The sequence below is a fragment of the Homo sapiens genome, chromosome 7, assembly GCF_000001405.40.
Source record: "Homo sapiens chromosome 7, GRCh38.p14 Primary Assembly".
Lineage (NCBI taxonomy): Eukaryota > Metazoa > Chordata > Mammalia > Primates > Hominidae > Homo > Homo sapiens.
Window position 1 is genome coordinate 43,809,693 of NC_000007.14, and position 22,945 is coordinate 43,832,637.

Below are 22,945 nucleotides of genomic sequence, written 5' to 3' on the forward strand. Positions count from 1 at the left end.
GCACAAATAGAAACCCCAATACAAAGAATTTTACGCTCTGCTGTCATAGCTGGAGAGCCCTTAGGACCTTGCGCTGTTCCTGTTTCCATAAGGCCTGATCCCAATAATCCACAGCAGTTTATTCATGAACACACCCCACTAGAATTTCAGTTGTTGAAGGAATTAAAAACTAGTGTGGTCAATAATGGAGTACAAAGCCCATGGTTCCCAGAGGAAAGAACACTAGATGTAGAACTCTGGGAACAAGTGGGGAGAAATCTTAAACAACATCAGGTGCAAAGGCATCAGGTCCCAGTAAAATCTTTAATGTTATGGGCTTTAATTAGAGCAGCCCTGGCTCAGTTACACACAGAAGAGCCTAAAAAGAGGAAGGAGGAGAAAATGTCACCTGCCTTATCACCTCCTCTTCCCTCAGTCCCAATATCACTGGGTCAAAATAACAGGAAACGGAGGTCTCACCTAAGTCTCCTCCTCCAATAGATAGGAAAAAGGACAGAGGATATGCTATAGCCATCAGTGTGTTAGATATGAGTTCTAAATTTCTCTTTAAAGAATCAGTATGTCAGTATGTTCAATTCTTTGCCTTCTACTTGTAAACTTAACTTCCTCATAAAGCAACCTTTTTCGATTACCTGCTCCATCCTGACTCATTCCGATTTCCTGCTCTGCCATAACCATTTTTCCCGCCAAACCACTCACCCTGTCACTCTCTTTAAATTAGCCAGTTGGAGTTAGTTTGGCCTGTGTGGTCTAACCCTAGCCAATAGGGGAATGACACAGCAGCAGGGGCCATGTGCATCAGGGATAAGAACCCTTTCCCCTCCCTTGTCCAGGTGTGCACTCAACCATTGCTCCATCTGTAAGGGCGCACCCTTCTGTAGAAGTACATTGACTTGCTGAGAATTAAAAAGAAAATTTTATATTCAAGTGCTATTTCTTTTGCGGCACCGAAACTTTACTTAAAACAACTTGGGGGCTCGCCTGTGATTACATTCCCCTCCAGGGGTAGTCTCAAGTCCTCTCTCATGAGGAGGCGCGCCCCGCCCCCTTGTGGCAGCCTCAGGGGTGAGAAATTAGGACCCACCCAGTGCAAGGAATAACCCGAGCTCTCAGCAAAGCAAAAAGAAACTGGCCAGCAACCTAGCTGGATCCTCCATAATGGCCTCCCTAACGGCCATGCAAGTCTGTGCACGGACGGAGGAAAAGACACCACGGGAGCCGGTAAAGTATATCCTTGGTGGTCAGGACCAAGGTAAGAAAGCCGCGGGGGGGCAATGAAGTACTCCTTGGTTGGGGTAGCATAGAGGTTAAAAAGAGGCAAGACATCACACAAACCTCCAGTAGTAGAAAAGGCAAGAAATTTCCAGGGGGGAAATTGAGCTCACCCCAAAAGGCAAGAGATTTCCAGTGGGGAAATTGAGCCTCACCCCAAAAGGCAAGAAATTTCCAGTGGGGGAAATTGAGCCTCACCCCAAAAGGCAAGAAATTTCCAGTAAGGGAAATTGAACCTTGAACCTTAACCCAAAACCATCAAGATGGGAAATACCCCAAGCAAGACAGGGAGCAAGATAAATAAAGATGGTAACAAAGATATCATCCTGGATGGCCCCCTAGGTCTCATGTTAAAATACTGGAAGGATAATGAAAGGACTAAACATAGGAAAAAGCAACAAATGATAAAATATTTCTGTTTTATTTGGACTCAGGGACCCATCCTCAAATCCTTGATCTTCTGGCCAAAGTTTATGTCGAATAAGGATGTAATGTGTCAGCTTCTAATCCGACGTGTTAATGATAAAGGTCCAGTGTCTCAAGAATTAGGCTATGCCCTTTGCTAGAGGCAAGGACCTACTCTCCTTTTTCCCTTAAAAACAGATAGGGAAGAACCCAATCTGGCACCTCAAAATGAAAAGTCAGAGGAGCCAGTTCTCATGCCTAAAAATTCCAGCACATGGGATCCCCTAGACTATCTTTCCCCGTTCAGTGTCCCCAATCTTTCCCCTCAGACAGCCACTGCTGCCTCAGATCCTGTTCCAAATCCCCACCTCTACTCTCGTTATCCCTCCTCCTTAAAACCCTGACTCTTAGGAATTACCATCCCACCCGCCTGTTCCCTCCCAACCTAAATACCCCTCTCTAAAAGGACTCCAGCGTGAGGTAGAACAGTGTAAAAAAGGATATTCAGAATTTCCCATTTCCCTCCGTATCTAAGGGTTCAGCCCCGACCCTCTTCCCTTTGAAAGAGGTCCCACAAGGAGGGGTGGGGGAGGGGGGCACTTGCTTTGTAAATGCTCCCTTGACCAGTTCAGAAGTCCGGAATTTTTAAAAGGAGCTTAAACCGCTACTAGATGACCCTTACAGAGTGGCAGACCATATTGACCAATTCTTAGAACCTCAGTTGTATACTTGGGTCGAGTTAATGTCCATCTTGGGCATCCTCTTTTCAGGGGAAGAAAGGAGTATAATTCGTAGGGCTGCTATGGTAGTTTGGGAACATAAGCACACTCCCGTTGAAAATGTTCCTACCATGGACCAGAAATTCTCCGCTCGAAACCCCTGGTGGGACAATAACAACGCAGACCACTGCGAAAATATGCAGGACCTAAGGGAGATGATAATAACAGGGATTTGGGAATCAGTACCCTGAACCCCAAATCTTTCTAAAGCATTTGATATACAACAGGAAAAGGATGAAGGGCCTATGAGATTCCTAGACAGACTGAGGGAGCAAATGAGGTAATATGCAGGCCTCGATTTGGATGATCCCCTTGGGCAAGGAATGTTGAAACTCCAATTTGTCACTAAAAGTTGGCCAGACATTTCAAAAAAGTTACAAAAGACAGACAATTGGGAAGACTGTCTCCTAAGTGAGTTTCTCAGGGAAGCTCAGAAAGTATACTTGAAAAGGGACAAAGAAAAACAGAAACAAAAGACAAAACTTATGTTTTGGGGAAAGAGAGAGAGAGAGAGGAGGCAGAGAGAGAGAGAGGAAGAGACAAAGAGGGAGTCAAAGAGAAAGAGAAAGGCAGAGAGAGAGGAAGAGACAGAGAGGGAGTCAGAGAGAAACACAAAGTTAAAGAGAGAAAGAGAGAGATAGAAGTAGTAAAGAGAAAACAGTGTACATTATTTCTTTAAAAGCCAGGGTAAATTTAAAACCTATAATTGATAATTGAAGGTCTTCTCTGTGACCCTGTAACACTCCAATACCACCTTTCTGTCAGTGTAAACAAGGGCGTAGCCCAAGAGCACTGAGGCCACTGATAATCCATAGCCTTCCTAATCAAAAATCCGTAACCCATGGATGGCCCAAATACATTCAATCTGTAGCAACAACTGCTTTGCTAACAGAAGAAAGTATGAGGCTATTCGGTTAAAAAAAAATGATTCAACATTAACTACTGAAAATTCCCTTAACCCAGCAGATTTCCTAACAGGGTATCTAAATCTCAATTAATTACTATAAAAAGGTCTGACCAGACCTAGGAGGAACTCCCTTCAGGACAGGATGATAGATGGTTCCTCCTGGGTGTTTGAGAGAAAAAGACACAATGGGTATTCAGTAACTGATAGAGTTGGATATGAGTTCTAAATTTCTTTTCAAAGAATTAATATGTCAGTATGTTCAATTCTTTACCTTCTACTTTTAAACTTCCTCATAAAGCAACCTTTTCCAATTAACCTACTCCACCCTGACTCAATCCAATCACCTGCTCCACCCTAACTCATTCCGATTACCTGCTATCTGCTCTGCCCTGATTCCCACCAAAGCACTCACCTCATCATTCTCTTTAGCCAATCGGAATTAGTTTAGCCTGTGCTTCTAACCCTAGCCAATAGGGGAACAACACAGCAAGCAGCAGGGGCCATGTGCATCAGGGATAAGAACCCATTCCCCTCCCTTGTCCAGGTGTGCGCTCACCATTGCTCCATCTGTAAGAGCGCACCCTTCTATAGAAGTATATTGCCTTGCTGAGAATTAAAAAGAAAATTTTATATTCGAGTGCTATTTCTTTTGCAGCACCGAATCTTTATATATAACAATTTGGAGACTTGCCCTTGATTACATTCCCCTCCGGGGGTGGTCTCTGGTTCTCTCTCGTGAGGAGGTGCACCCTGTCCCCTTTGGTGGCCTCAGGAGTGAGAAATCAAGACCCACCCAATGCAAGGAATAGCCTGAGCTCTCAGCAACATGGAAAAAAGAAAAAAAAACTGGCCAGCAACCTAGCTTAAAGGATCCTCACATACTGCGGTGATGACTCTGTGCACAGACCAAGGAAGGAGAAGCCATGGGAGCCAGTAAAGTATTTCCTGGGTCAGAACCAAGGTAAAAAAGCCGTGGGGGTGGGGTGTGGTGAAGTACTCCTTGGTCGGGGTGGCTTAGAGGTTAAAAAGAGGCAAGACATCCCCACTGGGGGGGATTGAACCTCACATAAACCTCCAGTAGTAGAAAAGGCAAGAAATTTCCAGTGGGGGAAATTGAGCCTCACCCTAAAAGGCAAGAAACTTCCGATGGGGAAATTGAGTCTCACCCCAAAAGGCAAGAAATTTCCAGTGGGGAAATTGAGCCCCACCCCAAAAGGCAAGAAATTTTCAGTGGGGAAATTGAGCCTCACCCCTAAAGGCAAGAAATTTCCAGTGGGGAAATTGAGCCTCACCCCAAAAGGCAAGAAATTTCCAGTGGGGAAATTGAGCTTCACCCCATAAGGCAAGAAATTTATAGTGGGGAGATCGAGCCTCACCCCATAAGGCAAGAAATTTCCAGTGGGGAAATCAAGCCTCACCCCAAAAAAACAAAGAAATTTCCAGTAAGGGAAATTGAACCTTGAACCTTACCCCAAAACCAACAAGATGGGAAATACCCCAAGCAAGACAGGGAGCAAGGGGAATAAGATGGTAACAAAGATATCCCCCCGGATAGCCCCCTAGGTCTCATGCTAAAACTGGAAGGATAATGAAAGGACTAAACATAGGAAAAAGCAACAAATGATAAAATATTTCTGTTTTATTTGGACTCAGGGACCCATCCTCAAACCCTCAATCTTCTGGCCAAAGTTTGTGTCGAATGAGGATGTAATGTGTCAGCTTCTAATCGGATATGTTAAAGGTCCAGTGTCTCAAGAAGGACTAGGCTATGCCCTTCGTTGGAGGCAAGGACTTGCCCTCCTTTTTCCCTTAAAAACAAATAGGGAAGAACCCAATCTGGCACCTCAAAATGAAAAGTCAGAGGAGCTAGTTCTCATGCCTAAAAATTCCAGCACATGGAATCCCCTAGACTATCTTCCCCTGTTCAGTGTCCCCAGTCTTTCCCCTCAGACAGCCAGTGCTGCCTCAGATCCCGTTCCAAAGTCCTTCTCTACTCACATTATCCCTCCTCCTTATAACCCTGACTCTTGGGAATTACCATCCCAACAGCCTGTTCCCTCTCAGCCTAAATACCCCTCTCTAAAAGGACTCCAGCGTGAGATAGAACAATGTAAAAAAGGATATTCAGAATTTCCCATTTCCCTCTGTACCTAAGGGGTCAGCCCCGACGCTCTTTCCTTTGAAAGAGTTACCACAAGGAGGGGGGGCCATTGGCTTTGTAAATGCTCCCTTAACCAGTTCAGAAGTCCAGAATTTTAAAAAGGAGCTTAAACTGCTACTAGATGACCCTTACAGAGTGGCAGACCATATTGACCAATTCTTAGAACCTCAGTTGTACACTTGTGTCGAGTTAATGTCCATCTTGGGCATCCTCTTTTCAGGGGAAGAAAGAGTAGCTCCGCTCCTGCCGGTCCCTCCCCAGGGGAAGGGGAAGGAGAGGAGAGAACAGCAGTGTAAGTGGCTGGCAGAGGCAGGGAAAGAACAGCAGAGAGGAAAGGTGGGGGGGGGGTGGAGAGAGAGGGCAAAGAGAGGCAGAGAGAGAGGAAGAGACAGGCAAAGAGGGAGTCAGAGAGAGAGAAAGAAAGGCAGAGAGAGACAGGAAGAGACACAGACAAAGAGGGAGTCAAAGAGAAAGAGAGACAATGCCAGAGAGAGAGAGAGAAGTAGTAAAGAGAAAACAGTGTACCCTATTCCTTTAAAAGCCAGGTAAATTTAAAACCTATAATTGATAATTGAAGGTCTTCTCCATGACCCCATAACACTCCAATACCACCTTGTTGTCAGTGTAAACAAGGGCATAGCTCAAAAGCACTGAGGCCACTGACAACCCATAGCTTTCCTATAAAAAATCCTTAACTCAGTAGTGGGTGGCTCAAATGCATTTAATCTGTAGCGGCAATTGCTTTCCTAAGAGAAGAAAGTAGAAAAATAGCTTTTAGAGGAAACCTCGTTGTGAGCACACCTCACCAGTTCAGAACTATCCTAAGTAAAAAAAGAAAACAAAGGTAGCTTACTAACTCAAAAATCTTAAAATATGGGGCTATTCTGTTAGAAAAAGATGATTTAACATTAACCACTGATAATTCCCTTAACCCAGCAAGTTTCTTAACAGGGGATCTAAATCTTAATGACCATACAAAGCCTTGACCAGACCTAGGAGGAACTCCCTTCAGGACAGGATGATAGGTGGTTCCTCCCAGGTGATTGAGGGAAAAAGACACAATAGGTATTCAGTAATTGATAGGGAAACTCTTGTAAAAGCAGAGTTAGGGAAATTGCCTAATAATTGGTCTGCTCAAACGTGTGAGCTGTTTGCACTCAGCCAAGACTTAAAGTACTTACAGAATCAGGAAGGAGCCATCTATACCAATTCTAAGTTAATTTGGACTGAACAAGGTCTTATTAATAGCAAAGAATAATTGAAATCCCAAACTTACAAGGTTTTTAACAAAAGTAAAATGTGCTAAAAGTTAACAGTGTAAGTGTACTATCCTAACTTATAATCTTGTGGCCTCAGGCAGTCTAGTCCACAGACATGAAAGAAGTTCACTTTGGAAAAGAATGGTTGTCATCTTTGAAAAAAAAATAAGCAGGGGGAGGGGGAGGATAATTTATGTTCAAAGAATGTTATATGATAAATTCTTGTCCTAAAATAAATTAACTGGTTGTTTAAAGAAAGGGATGTTTGCAACAAGTCAGAAAGTTGAGGCATGTTGAAGAATTGTCTGTGAAAGTCGTGGAAAAAAAAAATGTTATAAAAGGGAATTTATGCAAGGAGTGTTGTATAATTTAAAAGTAATTAGGCCTCCTGAATGTAAAACTATTGAAGAAACAGTTTATGTGCAAGGTGTATAAGGAAAGTAAAATATACCTTTGGTAAAAGGATTATAAGGAAGCATAAGAATGTGGATTTTTACCTACATTAAAAGGTTAAATAAATAAATAAATATTTTCTTTTAAGGGTTTAAGCAACTTTTGAAATGTTAATTGTAAAAGAAATTCTGTGTGTAAACATACTGGCTAAAGTTAAAGGGGTATCATCCAGTTTTTCTGTGAACTGGACCTTAAAAGCACAACAGGTTTTTCTAAAAGCACTAACCTGCTCTTTAACAAAAATTATAAAAGGTTAAAAAGTTTATAAAAATCTTATGGTCAGACATTAAAAATTGAATAAATATGTCTACAAAGTTTTATGAAAACTAAATTTAACATTAATAACACACTAATATAAAGGTGAAATTTAGCTTATCTGGTATAAAATCACACAGGAAGCACTGTCAAACATAAAATGGTGTTTGGCTTTCTTTGGTCTAAAAACTAATAAAAATAGGTGCTAAAGGAAATTTCTCAGTAAGAAGACACCAAGGACTATAAAGCCCACTGCTGATGTCCCCACATTTAAGACAAAAGATCAATTTCTTAGAAATTATATACTTGGTTTATCTTCCACTTTCCTTTCCCTCAAAACTAAAAGTCTTTTAGCACAGGTACCACCCCTAGAATTTCCGGTAAACCAGCAACAGCCTGAAGATCACGGTCTCATCAAAGGGTGGAAAGAAGGAAAACTCCAGCCAGCCTGGGAAGGACCCCACCTTGTGCTGCTAACCACCAAGACTGCTATTCGTACAGTGAAAAAAGGATGGACTCATCACACCCGAGTCAAGAAAGTGCCACCCCCTCCAGAGTCATAGGCCATAGTCCTTGGGGAAAACCCTACCAAACTAAAGCAAAGAAAAATTTAATTCTTTTCATCTATTCTATTACTCTTTCATCTTTCCTAGCTTTATTGCTGACCATCTAGTTATTAACATAACCAAGTCAATTTTGCCTCAAACTATTGTATTTAATGCTTGCCTTGTTATACCCTGTGGGGACTTGCCAAGTCAAAGACAGCTCTCTACTTCAGAAAAGTACCTCTGGCCCTCCTTACTCTCCTCAGACTGGGCATTAGTGAACTGGGACCATTTAATCGAGGGAGACTTTGATAAAGACCCCATTGTTAACCAGGATTGTTGCCCCCAATGTAGAGCTTTTACGCCATAGTTGATCCAATGTTCTGTGGACCACAAAAGAGCAAGGATGGACTGCCCCAACCAGTTTTTGTAATTTCCTAAAGCCATACATTCATTTTACTAAAGGATCATAGAAGTTAAAGACTTAAAACAAACTTTGGCAATTAAGACAGGATACCAAGATGCAAATGCCTGGTTGGAATGGATCAAATATTCCATCCACATGTTAAACAAAAGCAATTGTTATGCTTGTGCACATGGCAGGCCAGAGGCCCAGATTGTCCCCTTTCCACTAAGGTGGTCCTCCAGTCGACCAGGTGTGGGCTGCATGGTAGCTTTTTTCCGGGATTCTACAGCCTGGAGCAACAAGTCGTGCCAAGCGGTCTCTCTGCTATATCCCTTAGTCCAGCACCCTGCGGGTCAGCCCCCAAGGGCCATTCAGCTTCCATCTCCCAACACTAAGTTTACTTCATGTCTCTCACGAAAGGGAGGAAACTTAGTGTTCCTTGGAGACCTGAAGGGATGCAGTGAGCTTAAGAATTTTCAAGAGTTTATCAATCAATCAGTCTTTGTTCATCCCCGAGCAGATGTGTGGTGGTATTGTGGTGGATCTTTACTGGACACTCTGCCAAATAACTGGAGTGGCCCTTGTGCTTTAGTCCAGTTGGCTATCCCTTTCACCCTGGCATTTCATCAACCAGAGGGAGGAAAAATAAGACATCATAAAGCGAGAGAAACCCTTTACGGGTCTTTTGACTCTCATGTCTATTTAGACACAATTAGAGTCCCACAGGGAATACCAGATCAATTTAAAGCCCAAAATCAAATAGCTGCAGGATTTGAGTCAATATTTTTGGTAGGTGACAATTAATAAAAATGTAGATTGGATAAACTATATCTATTACAACCAACAGCAATTTATTAACTACAGTAGAGATGCTGTTAAAGGAATAGCTGAACAATTACGGGCTACCAGCCAGATGGCTTGGGAAAATAGGATACCCTTAGACATGATATTTGCAGAAAGAGGAGGGGTTTGTGTCATCATTAAAACTCAATGTTGTACCTTCATCCCAAACAACACCACCCCTGATGGAAGTATAACAAAGGCATTGCAAGGTCTGATTGCTCTGCCCAATGAGTTAGCCAGCAACTCAGGGGTAAATGACCCCTTTACAGGATGGCTAGAAAAGTAGTTCAGTAAATGGAAAGGAATAATAGCCTCAATTCTTACTTCCCTCGCAGCCGTAATAGGTGTACTTATTCTTGTTGGGTGCCGTGTCATACCATGCATCCTGGGTTGGTGCAGAGGCTCATAAAAATATCACTTACTAAAACCTCCCTTCACTATCCTCCACCTTATCCAGAGAAGCTGCTTCTTTTGGAAAATCAAGCAAAACAACTAAGCCAGGACATGTTAAAAAAACTTTTGAAAAGAAAGCTGTAAAGAAATACAAGGGAAGGGGTTGTTATATATGAGTTCTAAATTTCTTTTGAAAGAATATGTCAGTATGTTCAATTCTTTGCCTTCTACTTTTAAACTTAACTTCCTTGTAAAGCAACATTTTTGATTACCTTCTCAATCCTGACTCATTCCGATTACCTGCTACCTGCTCTGCCCTGACTCCCGCCAAAGCACTCACCCCGCCATTCTCTTTAAATTAGCCAGTCGGAATTAGTTTATCCTGTGTGGCCTAACCCTAGCCAATAGGGGAACGACACAGCAGCAGGGGCCACGTGCATCAGGGATAAAAACCCCTTCCCCTCCCTTGGCCAGGTGTGTGCTCACCATTGCTCCATCTGTAAGGCGCAGCCTGCTATAGAAGTAACTTGCCTTGCTGAGAATTAAAAAGAAAATTTTATATTCAATTGCTATTCCTTTTGCGGCACCGAAAGTTTATATATAACAATAGGGAAACTCTTGTAGAAGCAGAGTTAGGGAAATTGCCTAATAATTGGTCTACTCAAACGTGTGAGCTCTTTGCACTCAGCCAAGCCTTAAAGTACTTAGAGAACCAGGAAGGAACCATCTATACCAATTCTAAGTTAATTTGGACTAAACAAGGTCTTATTAATAGCAAAGGATAATGGAAATCCCAAACTTACAAGGTTTTCAACAAAAGTAAAATTTGCTAAAAGTTAACAGTGTAACATGTATTATCCTAACTTCTAATCTCGTGGCCTTAGGCAGTCTAGTCCACAGACATGAAGGAAGTTCGCTTTGGAGAAGAATGGAAAAAAAAGGGGATGGGGGGGAAGAATTTATATAAAATGAATGTTACATGGTAAATTCTTGTCCTAAAATAAGTTAACTGGTTGTTTAAAGAAAGGGATGTTTGCAACAAGTCAGAAAGTTGAGGCATGTTGAAGATTGTGAAAGTCATGAAAAAAAAAGTTATAAAAGAGAATTTATGCAAGAGATATTGTATAATGTACAAGTAATTAGGCCTCCTGAATGTAAAACTATTGAAGAAACAGTTTATGTGCAAGGTGTGCAAGGAAAGTAAAATACACTTTTGGTAAAAGGATTATAAGGAGGCATAAGAATGTGGATTTTTACCTACATTAAAAGGTTTAAAAATTTGTTTTAAAGGCTTAAGCAAGCTTTAAAATGTTAATTGTAAAAGAAATTCTGTGTGTAAACATACTGGCTAAAGTAAAAGGGGTATCATCCAATCTTTCTGTGAACTGGACATTAAAATAAAAGCACAACAGGTTTTTCTAAAAGCACTAACCTGCTCTTTAACAAAAATTATAAAATGTGAAAAAGAGTCTATAAAAATCTTACCTTATGGTGAGACATTAAAATTAGATAAATATGTCTACAAGGTTTTATTAAAATTTAGTTTAACATTAATAACACACTAATATCAAGGTGAAATTTAGCTTTTCTGGTATAAAATCATACAGGAAGCATTGTCAAATATGAAATGGTGTTTGGCTTTCTTTGGTCTAAAAACTAATAAAAATAGGTGCTAAAGGAAATTTCTCAATAAGAAGGCACCAAGGACTATGAAGTCCACTGCTGATGTCCCCACATTTAAGACAAAAGATCAATTTCTTAGAAATTATATACTTGGTTTATCTTCCACTTTCCTTTCCCTCAAAACTAAGTCTTTTAGCACAGGTCCACCCCTAGAATTTCCAGTAAACCAGCACCCGCCTGAGGATCACCTTCTCATCAAAGGGTGGAAAGAAGGAAAACTCGAGCGAGCCTGGGAAGGACCCTACCTTGTGCTGCTAACCATTGAGACTGCTGTTTGTACAGCAAAAAGGGTAAGGACTCATCACACCTGAGTCAAGAAAGCGCTGCCCCCTCCAGAGTTGTGGGCCATAGTCCTAGGGGAAAACCCTACCAACTAAAGCCAAGGAAAATTTAACCCTCTTTCACCTATTCTATTACTCTTTCTTCTTTCCTCACTCTATTGCTGAACATCTAGTTTTTAACATAACCAAGTCAATTTTGCCTCAAACTATTGCATTTAATGCTTGCCTTGTTATACCCTGTGGGGACTTGCCAAGTCAAAGACAGCTCTCTACTTCAGAAAAGTACCTTTGTTCCTCCTGACTCTCCTCAGACTGGGCATTAGTGAATTGGGACCATTTAATCTGGGAAGATTTCAATAAAGACCCCAGTGTCAGCCAGGAGTCTTGCCCCATCCGAGGTGGAGCTTTTATGCCGTAGTTGGTCCTACATTCTGTGGACCACTAAAGAGCAAGAATGGACTGCCCCAACCGGTTTTTGTAATTTCCTAAAACCATACATTTATTTTACCAGAGGGACAGCCCTTCACTAACTGTCAGCTAAACCAGTGCAATCCTACACAGGTTATTATCTCAAACCCTCGAAGTTCTTCCCCTTTTCTAAGCCAGTTTCCTTCTTTAAGCTGGTTTTATGGTATGGGGGCTGAGGTTTCAGGGACAGACCCTATTGGATTCCTTGAAATGCATTTCTTTGATCCACTGCTGCCTGCACCTTCCTCTAAGCCTTTTTCCAAAACGTCTCGCAATGGAACAACTGTTCCTCCTCCATCTAATGACAAGACCAAGATAGCTATTGTAGAAGTTAAAGACTTAAACTTTGGCAATTAAGACAGAATACCAAGATGCAAATGCCTGGTTGGAATGGATCAAATATTCCATCCACACGTTAAACAAAAGCAATTGTTATGCTTGTGCACATGGCAGGCCAGAGGCCCAGATTGTCCCCTTTCCACTAGGGTGGTCCTCCAGTCGACTGGGCGAGGGCTGCACGGTAGGTCTTTTCCAGGATTCTACAGCCTGGAGTAGTAAGTCGTGCCAAGCTCTCTCTCTGCTATATCCCGAAGTCCGGCACCCTGTATGTCGGCCCCCAAGTGCCAACCAGCTTCCATCTCCCAACACTAAGTTTACTTCATGTTTCTCACGACAGGGAGGAAACTCAGCATTCCTTGGAGACCTGAAGGGATGCAGTGAGTTTAAGAATTTTCAAGAGCTTATCAGTCAGCCCTTGTTCATCCCTGAGTGGAGGTGTGGTGGTATTGTGGTGGACCTTTACTGGGCACTCTGCCAAATAATTGGAGTGTCACTTGTGCTTTAGTCCAATTGGCTATCCCTTTCACCCTGGCATTTCATCAACCAGAGGGAGGAAAAATAAGACATGGTAAAGTGAGAGAAAACCCTTATGGGTCTTTCAACTCTCACATCCATTTAAATGCAATTGGAGTCCCTTGGGGAATATCAGATCAATTTAAAGCCCAAAATCAAACAGCTACAGGATTTGAGTCAATATTTTGGTGGGTGACCATAAAAATGTAGATTGGATAGCCTACATCTACTACAACCAACAATGATTTATTAACTATGGTAGAGATGCTGTTAAAGGAATAGCTGAGCAATTACGGGCTACCAGCCAGATGGCTTGGGAAAACAGAATAGCCTTAGACATGATATTAACAGAAAGAGGAGGAGTTTGTGTCATGATTAAAACTCAATGTTGTACCTTCATCCCAAACAACACCACCCCTGATGGAACTATAACAAAGCCATTGCAAGGTCTGACTGCTCTGTCCAGTGAGTTAGCCAACAACTCAGGGGTAAATGACTCCTTTACAGGATGGCTAGAAAGGTGGTTCGGTAAATGGAAAACAATAATAGCCTCAATTCTTACTTCCCTCGCAGCCGTAATAGTTGTACTTATTCTTGTCAGGTGCTGTGTCACACCATGCATCAGTGGGTTGGTGCAGAGGCTCATAAAAATGGTACTTACTAAATCCTCCCTTCACTATCCTCTGCCTTATCCAGAGAAGGTTCTTCTTTTGGAAAATCAAGCAGAACAACTAAGCCAAGGCATGTTAAAGAAGTTTGAAGAGAAAGAGCTGTAAGGAAATGCAAGAGGAGGGAATGTTAGATATGAGTTCTAAATTTCTCTTCAAAGAATCAATATGCCAGTATGTTTAATTCTTTGCCTTTGACTTTTAAACTTAACTTCTTCATAAAACAACCTTTTTTGATTACCTGCTCCACCCTGACTCATTCCGATTTCCTGCTCTGCCATAACCATTTTTCCCACTAACCCGCTCGCCCTGTCACTCTCTTTAAATTAGCCAATCGGAATTAGTTTACCCTGTGCGGTCTAACCCTAGCCAATAGGGGAACGACACAGCAGCAGGGGCCACATATGTCAGGGATAAGAACCCCTTCCCCTCCCTTGTCCAGGTGTGCATTCACCATTGCTCCATCTGTAAGGGTGAACCCTTCTACAGAAGTACGGTGTCTTGCTGAGAATTAAAAAGAAAACTTTATATTCGAGTGCTATTTCTTTTGTGGCACTGAAACTTTACTTATAACAAGTCCCTGTCCTAAGCAGGCAGCATTGGAAAGAAAGCTCTTAACCTGCTCAGTAATGCAAAATCGGCAAGGCAATCAGGTGTATGTTTATAAAAAGATAAGAAAAAAGGCATTAGAAGCTGAAACCGCATGGCCAAGCAGGCAGTGGGTGGAAGAAAATGCTCAGCGGCAGAAAAGTTCTCAGTGATCAAGCTGACAAGGTCCATCCAGGCCGGCAGCATCCCCCCAGCAAAGGAAGGAGGGAGCGGGGCAGACACAGGCAAAGCCTAAGCAAGTACAACATGGCTGCCACCCAGGACCTGCACCGCTGCCCTCTGGCTCTGTGGGCAGCCCATAGCAAAATTTCATGTGTTATGTCCCAGGCTATGATTCTCTACTAAGATTTAAGTAAAATGTAAGAATTTGAAAAGCCTCTTTTCTAATAATGGCCACTATTGTTATCTCTCTCCTACCCCTGATGTAGCTTTCCAAATTCAAATTAAATATAACAGTAACCTCTGAAGGGAGAGAGATTACAGAGGGCCCATGAATTAAAGAGTAATTAAAAGCTAGGCATGTAAAACCACACATTACCCTTTAAAGGAGAACTGTAAACCTAATTAAATGATATTTGTTATAAGGGAGGAGACCACCCCTCATATTGTCTTATGCCCAATTTCTGCCTCCAAAGAAAGAAGAAGTAAAAACTAAAAGGCAGAAATGAAATCCACAGGCAGACAGCCCGGCGCCACACCCTGGGCTTGGTAGTTAAAGATCGACCCCTGACCTAATTGGTTATGTTATCTACAGACTCCAGACATTGTATAGAATAGCACTGTGAAATCCCTGTCCTGTTCTGCTCCGTTCTAATTACCGGTGCATGCACCCCAAGTCACGTACCCCCTGCTTGCTCAATCGATCAAGACCCTCTCAAACGGACCCCCTTAGAGTTGTAAGCCCTTAAGACGGACAGGAATTGCTCACTCGGGGAGCTCGGTTTTTGAGACGTGAGTCTTGCCAATGCTCCTGGCTGAATAAAGCCCTTCCTTCTTTAACTCGGCGTCTGAGGGGTTTTGTCTGCAGCTCATCCTGCTACAGTTAAATTAGAGGGTAAAAATGTTGTGTCCTTCTCAGAAAGTGAAGAAAAGTTCTAAGTGTAGTGAAAACTTATGCATGAATGACTATCTTAACCCACTGATTACAGAGAGTCTTTGATTTGTACTCGCTAAAAGAGTCCTAAATTGAGTTTCCCAGCTAGTGAGTCACAGTTTTCAAGACTGTTTGCTAGATTAAAGTCTATAAACTTGGCCAGCCTGAAAACTCAATTACAAGATTTAAGCTACTCTGCCTATGGCTTTAAGCACATGGTTAAAGTTTATTATTTAAGTCTCTGCTTCTAGAGATGCTTTCAGGTTTTCTTTTTAAACTTCTTGTTACTTATTTCAGCTTGCCATCTTAATGATTAATGAAGTCAATTGCTAAGTTATGACCCTGATATCATCAGGATTCCTTTAAGTAAAAGGCAATTTGGAGCAGCATTGCACTCCCCAATACTTAATGCTTTAACACTGTTTACTGACAGGTCTGGTAAAGATGGAAAAGCGGCTGTCTAGTAGAGACCACATAATTCAATCACTCGATCTGAGTTTACTAGCCCCAGAGAGCTAAGGTTACTCTGTTTATTTATTAAAGAACTTTTACAACCTTAAACTCACTCTGGACTTTCCAGCCTTATGTTGGGGGTTACAAGTGGCGCCCCGAACAGCAACAGGATCGGGTGCTCTGCATTACCCTATGACACAGTTACCCTAAGACAGAGCCAAACCTATTTGGCTGCAGATCCCCACATTCCCCAACCAACTTTACCAAAAAACTATTTTTTAAAACTTCATATCTCTCTCTCTCTCTCTCTCTCTCTCTCTCATCTATAGCTTAATTGGTCTCCAAAATTGGGAGGAGAGAAAAAAATATTCCTTATGGGACCTTGAAATCCCAAAAATATACCTCATGATCCTCCACCTCAAGGAATCAAGTCAAAATTTTTTAAGTATTACATTTTAGTCAATGACACCTGAGTTCCTCCAGAAAAGGGTTGTTTTTGGAAAATCCTGCGATAACCCAGCCAATTAGTTGTGACATTGGAGATGGAGGTGTAAAGGGAGTAAGAGGCCCAAGACAGCTAAACTTCTGCCCAGGCTGGAGTGCAGTGGAGTGATCTCAGCTCACTGTAACCTCAAATTTGTGGGCTCAAGCAATCCTCCTGCCTCAGCCTCCCAAGTAGCTAGGACTATAGGCCACCCTAGCTAATTGTTTTTTATAGAGACGGTCTCAAACTCCTGGTCTCAAGTGATTGTCCCACCTTGGCATCCCAAAGTGCTGAGATTACAGGCATAAGCCACCATGCCTGGCCTACAAAGAGATTTTTAAAGGCTTAAGCTAGGGAGAGTTTTTTTTAGGCAAGTCAGAGGAGACTTCCCTAAAGAATGTGCTAAAACCTGAAGGTTGACGAGTTTCACCAGGTGCCAGTGGGCAAGGGATGGGGAGAGCAGTCCAGGTAGAGGGACTAGCATGTGCAGAAGCCTTGCGTACAGCCACATCTGAGGCCAGCACTTTCCCTGAATGTAACAGGTACCTTAAATTCTCTAAACCCAGCTTTTCTTTTCTTTTTTTTTTTTTTTAGTTGTGGAATAAGAATGAGCTACTAAGAAACAGGAAACTCTTGAAACCACCCGGTCCCAGCACTGCCTGTGTGGCTACCTGCCCGTGGGTCAGTGGCCCCCCTCCAGCGATGGATCCAGAAGCAAGCCCAAGCAGCTACCTAGTTCTCTTGGACTGGGGGCTGTCTCTGGTACTCTCTCTACTGGCAGGATGCTGCCAACCCAATGTGCATGGGTTTAATTGCAATGGAGTAATAGTCCTGGGGAGATGTCCCTTAACTGTAGCCCTATCACAAGGTATCTGCCTGTAGCCCCATGGTGGATGTCTGTCTGCAGCCCCATTGCAGGGTGTCTGGATTGATGAGTATCCTAGGCACTGCCAACGCTGACTTCCTTCTCCTGACTGGTTCTGTAGCCCTGTGGTGGGGTGTCTGTAGCCCCATTGTGGGGCATCTGTTTGTGGCTCCACCATGGGGTCTCTGTGTCTGTAGCCCCACTGAGGGGTGTCTGTTCAGCTCCTGTGAGGGTCTCAGTTGGCTCTTTCTAACTAGTAGGAAGAGTCCTGGTTCGGGAGACTTCTCCTCAATCAGGAAGATTTCAAGGAGGTTTCTCAGATGGAGAATAGGAGGACAGTTTGGAAGGGATACTCTCGGAGTTCTTGGTTAGGGATCTGATTTGGAAGGCCTTCTGTCCATCTCATCTTTGTGTGTGTTTGTACATGTGAAAGGGATCTCAGAAGGGGTTGCTGATGGAAGTCCAGCAGGCCCAACTCAGAGAACCCTCCTTATTTGTCTGGTCACATTCAATGAGCCCTAAAGGAGGCTCAACAAGGTGACTATCTCTTCTTTGCCTTGCCCAGAGACCCCAACTGTGAATTACCATTCGGAGGTCGTCCCTCCCCACCTAGAGTGGATCAAAGACAACAGGGACCAACGGGAAGAAGTTTGAGCTTTGCTAGGTTGATTATGGGTGCTGAACGAGGTAACTAATGTCTGTTTTGTTATGTATATTTTGCTGGGTTGGAAAATGTTAATTCGGCTCCCCATGCAGCCCATTGGGCAGCATCTTGCAAATTAAGAATATTGTCTATGGTTTCATAAAACAATAAAGGGTGATTTTCTCTTGTAAAGTGGCTTGAAACCCACATCTATAGCACAAGCAAGCAGGGGCATCAGAAGCCACTCCGTTCTTCTGGAAGCTGCAGAGAAAGGGAACCCGGAAACCTGATATGCCAGCAAAAAGGGTAAGAAATTCTTATTAGCCAAGTTTCTGGTCTCTCTCTCTCTTTCTCTGTCTTGGTAAATAGTAAACTGTCTCCTCTGCGAGGGTTTGATTAGTAGAAAAAAGGATTTGCGAGACTAGTCTTAGGCTGTAGCAAATCTGGTGTAGTTTGTGCTAAGAATTTGTCCTTCTGTATTCTGCAATGGAGAAAGGGGTATCACAGGATAGAACGTGGGTTTAGGACCCCATAAGCCTGCTTTTCAAGCCAGCTCAGCAGGCTGGTCAGTTACAAACTTTGCTACGGGTTCCTGAAGCCAATACTGTATGAAATTTCTCTGTCTTGTTCTGTGTGCTTAAGAGCTTAACCTTGTGACAATGTGGAGATACTTTCTTTTGGTTTCCACCATCCAGAAGACAGGAATTTTGGGGTTCATATCATAGTCCTAAAAATTTTTCTTGAACAGTTAAAAGTCTTGCAAATTTGAAATTGGCTTCTTTAGGCTCCTTCTGGGGAAAGCTAGAAACTGCTCAATGCTGGATAGCTCAGTAGCTAAGGCATTATCTTTTGACAGTGGTGGCCTGGGTTCAATTGTTGGCGTCTGGAATGATTCCTTTCTGGTTTGTTATTTCTGTAACTTTGCCATTTATTGAGGTTCTCCCCCCCTCCCCCCCCCCGATTGATAGCTTCTAATTTCCTCTCTTGAATTTTCCTTTCTCTGAGCTACTTTGTGGAGATTCTAAATCTTGTAAAAAAGAAACTGCCTACCATGTCTTTGAAGCACCTAGGAGTTTACCTCTGGTAAAGCTCAGAAACTAGAAATATTGGCTGCTTGGCATGGCTAAAGTTGGGTAATAAGAGATCTGAACGGATTTCTTTTTTAAAGAGCACTATGGTTAAAATTCAGCTTAATTAAAAGTGGATAAACAAGCTATAGATATATTTTAAAGTCCTTTAACTTTTTCTCTTCTCGGACCTTGTTTTTCTGGAAAAAGGTTTTTTTCTTCTCAGTCAACTGAATTATTTTCCTCCGATTTTTTTTTTTTTTTTGTCTTGCCACTCTTCATGCACACATGAGAGGCTCTGAGATAACTTCTGGTAGCCTGGGACTCATTGGGAAAAACAGAGGAAGTACCACAGACCCCGTTTTGGGGAAAAACCTCTGTTTTCCTTATAAAACTCCAGGAATTAAAAGTGGATAGCTCCCTCTCAAAATCAAAGGCTCTGTTCTGTTTTACATTGTGTTATCTGACGGTTTTGAGTTTTGGGGGTATCAGAAATTACTTTGCATTATGAGAGAGCTTTGGTGTGTAACCACTAGGTAGGAAATACACTTTAAGGGATGGCTAATAGTACTTATGGAGGGATACTTGACTCTTTGCACACTTGGATCAGGGAAGCATGCTCTTGGCCACCTGGAAGATAAGGGAATATCCTCACCCCACACTGGGAGATGAAACTCCCATGAAGGATGGGCTAATTACAAAATGGGCTGATTAGCTTTGGGTTACCTGCAGCGAAATGCAGAGCAGAAGCACTGCACTGTCTTCTCCTTTTGGGGATCCAGTATAAAATGGCACCCTTAATTTTGGGGCTCTGTCTTTGCCTTCAGCTGCTTATTTGCTGCTTATTTGGCCCTAGAAATGGATGCTTTCCTGGTCCTGTTCCTCCAAGGGCTCCAGCCTGAAGCCAGTAATCCAATTAAGAAACTGGCAAATGAAAAATCTTACAAGTGCTGAATCTTCTGTCTGTCTGTATTTATATGTGTTGCATGTGTGTGTGTGTTTACATATAAAAGAGCTCTGATTACTTGGCTTAGAAAAATAAGTGCCCGGCCGAGCGCAGTGGCTCACATCTGTAATCTCAGCACTTTCGGAGCCTGAGGTGGGCAGATCACGAGGTCAGGAGTTCAAGAATCTATTTTGTGACATCCAGTGTTTTAAACCTTTGATATTTGACAAATTTTCCAAAATCAAATTATAAATTATGTCTCTTCCTAACCTAATATTTTAGATATTAGGTCCTCTAAAACCCAAAAATGACTGTGTGCCACAGAGGTAAATTTCCTTGTCAATTGTGCCTTTAACTGTGGCTGCCCTAAAATGTTTTTGTCATCTGCCGATAATTGTTGTCTCACTTTGCTCCTCTTTAAAAGGTAATTTTATAATCAGCTACAAAATTTAACAGGTCCTCTTTTTTTTTTTTTTTTTTTTGGAGACAACATCTCACTCGCTCTTGTCCCCCAGGCTGGAGTGCGATGGCACAATCTTGGCTCACTGCAACCTCCGCCTTCTGGGTTCAAGCAATTCTCTTGCCTCAGCCTCCCAAGTAGCTGGGATTACAGACAACTGCCACCACACCTGGCTAATTTTTGTATTTTTAGGAGAGACGGGGTTTTGCCATGTTGGCCAGCCTGGTCTCGAACTCCTGACCTCAGGTGATCCACCTACCTTGGCCTCCCAAAGTGCTGGGATAACAGGCGTGAGCCATAGCGCCCAGCCTAACAGGTGCTCTTAAATCCAGTTTTCTGATTAATAACTAGGAGATTGTGACATTAGAATAGAAAAAAAAACTTTCAAATAGAAGAGTGAATAGTGTTTGGTTTTCTTTGGACTGTATTTGTATAAATATGTTATTGGTATGTGTTCCAAAATTATGAGAAACTTCTATAATGTTGATATAATTTAGTGTACTTTATCAATAATTATAATTGTTATGTAAAATTGTTGTATGCCACAGAAGTAACCAAAATTCCTAGTCAATTGTAGCTATAGACTTTTGTCATCCACAGACATTTTGTCTTGCTTTAGTCCTTTTCAAAAGGTAGTTTATAATCAGATACAGGACTCTGAGTTCAGGTCTCAGATAACTTTAAAAACTGTGCTATTGGTCAGGTGTGGTGGCTTATGCCTGTAATCCCAACACTTTGGAAGGCCAAGACAGGCAGATCACTTGAGGTCAGGAGTTCAAGACCAGCCTGGCCAACATGGTGAAACCCCATCTCTACTAAAAATATGAAAATTAGTTGGGCGTGGTGGCACACACCTGTAATCCCAGCTACTCAGGAGGCTGAAGGAGGGGAATTGCTTGAACCTGGGAGGTGGAGGTTGCAGTGAGCCAAGATCATGCCACTGCACTTCCAGCCTGGGTGACAGAGCAAGACTCTGTCTCAGAAAAAAAAAAAAAAATGTGCTATTGGAATAGAGGAAAAAAACCAAACTTCTAGGACTCTCATGGAGAGCTAATGTGTTAAACATTGCTAAACCTTTTGTGTTCAGTCAAGATAACTTATTTCTTTAGAGCTATTTGCAACTTTTAACAAATGAGTAAAATATACTCCTGTGAACAAAACTTGGAGCATATTTGTTCCTCTCTGCCTGATTTCTCCAGAATTTGGAAACTATTTGTGAGTATTCTCAACTTACAGAGGTATAGTTAATTGCATAAGTGCAATAAGAATCTGTTTTCTTTTGTAACAGGACACAACTGGAGAAATTGGTTATTTTACCAAGGCTTTGACTTGAATGGCATGCTTCCTTTAAAGAATCAAAGTGGACTTTTAGAGCCAATTAAAGCCCATTGGGGCATCTGGCCTTATACCTTGTCCACACAGGGTGCCTGTACAAGGTTTCTGATCTGTGGTAAGTAAAGAATGTCATTTTCTAACAGGCCCAGGAACACCAAGTTATCTTGGGACCTCAAGAGGAGAGGAATTCACCCAACTCATAGGTATTTGAGGGTACAAATCCATGGCTGGGGTTGGCCTTTAAAAAGTCTTATCTGAGATTCTTCATGGAAGAGAGTTCTATCAAAGCCAATTTTAAAAGCCTAATTGAAAAATAATTATTCTTGCTGCACCTTATGCAAATAATCAGGCCAAGTACAGTTAAGACTGAAGTTTATTTTGTAAGCAAATCAGTTCTATCATGATTGTTTTTAATAAAAATGGGCACTGGAGAGAGAAAAATTGTGCTTCAAAAGAAAAACTATAGTACACTGTTGTTAGCTGTTCTTGAGGTTTTTTCTGCAGTTTAGACTAAATTCTAAATTCTTTATGGGTTAGAAGTCTCCAAACTAATGCTTTCAAATCTTTGCTTTTAAACTTGGGAATTGTACTCCTCATCCTAGGACTCATTATTTACCTTATAGTATGCTGTTCACATAAATACTGTACTAAAACTATAGATGAGAATACTAATGTTTTTACCTTGCAAGCCTTGGAAGCTCAACCATGCCTGCATGAGTATGCTCAGACAATTGCAAAGCAGTTCCACTCTTCCCACCTTGGGGTTCACTCTCATTCCCACTATGTCCCCTTTCAGCAGGAAGAAGCCAAAGTGATCAACAGCCTTTTCCCATCTTCATAGCCTACACCTTAAGATTGAGGTATTATAAAACCCAAAGGGAGGGATTGAAACTACCTTTGCAAAAGTATGGCTGAGACAGTGAAAGGGATCTAACTTAACTGACTCCATCTTGCTTCTAACCTCCAAGTTGTCCTTGTTCATTCCTGGGCATAGGCTGAACTAACTTTGGGAGAAACTTAGTTTATAGTTTAAACAAAGATGGTAACAGCCCTTTCCCAAAGCAGACCTCCTTCTTCCCTGGGGACTAGATTGCCTTCGTAGGACTAACATTAGCCACAAGATTAGAAATTATGGTTTAGGAGTCATGAAGCTGGAGGCTACAAAATTCTGACCCTCCCTAAACTGCTCCTAAGATCAGGGCTTGAGATATTTTGCAGACCCTGTACTTGATGGATCAGCTGGCATCACTCAGATCAATAAACTGGCTCACCTGATCTTGTGGCCCCCGACCCAGGAACTGACTCATCACAAGCAGACAGCTTTGACTCCCTATGATTTCATCCCTGACCAATCAGCACT

At 42.2% G+C, this 22,945-nt stretch overlaps 1 annotated feature.

Annotated features, from left to right (window-relative positions):
* Positions 1,097 to 1,196: an enhancer, noted in NCBI's record as "active region_25918". NCBI's record gives its function as "activates an Ori minimal core promoter by ATAC-STARR-seq in GM12878 lymphoblastoid cells {active_cell/tissue: GM12878}" and the evidence as "EXISTENCE:reporter gene assay evidence [ECO:0000049][PMID:35858748]".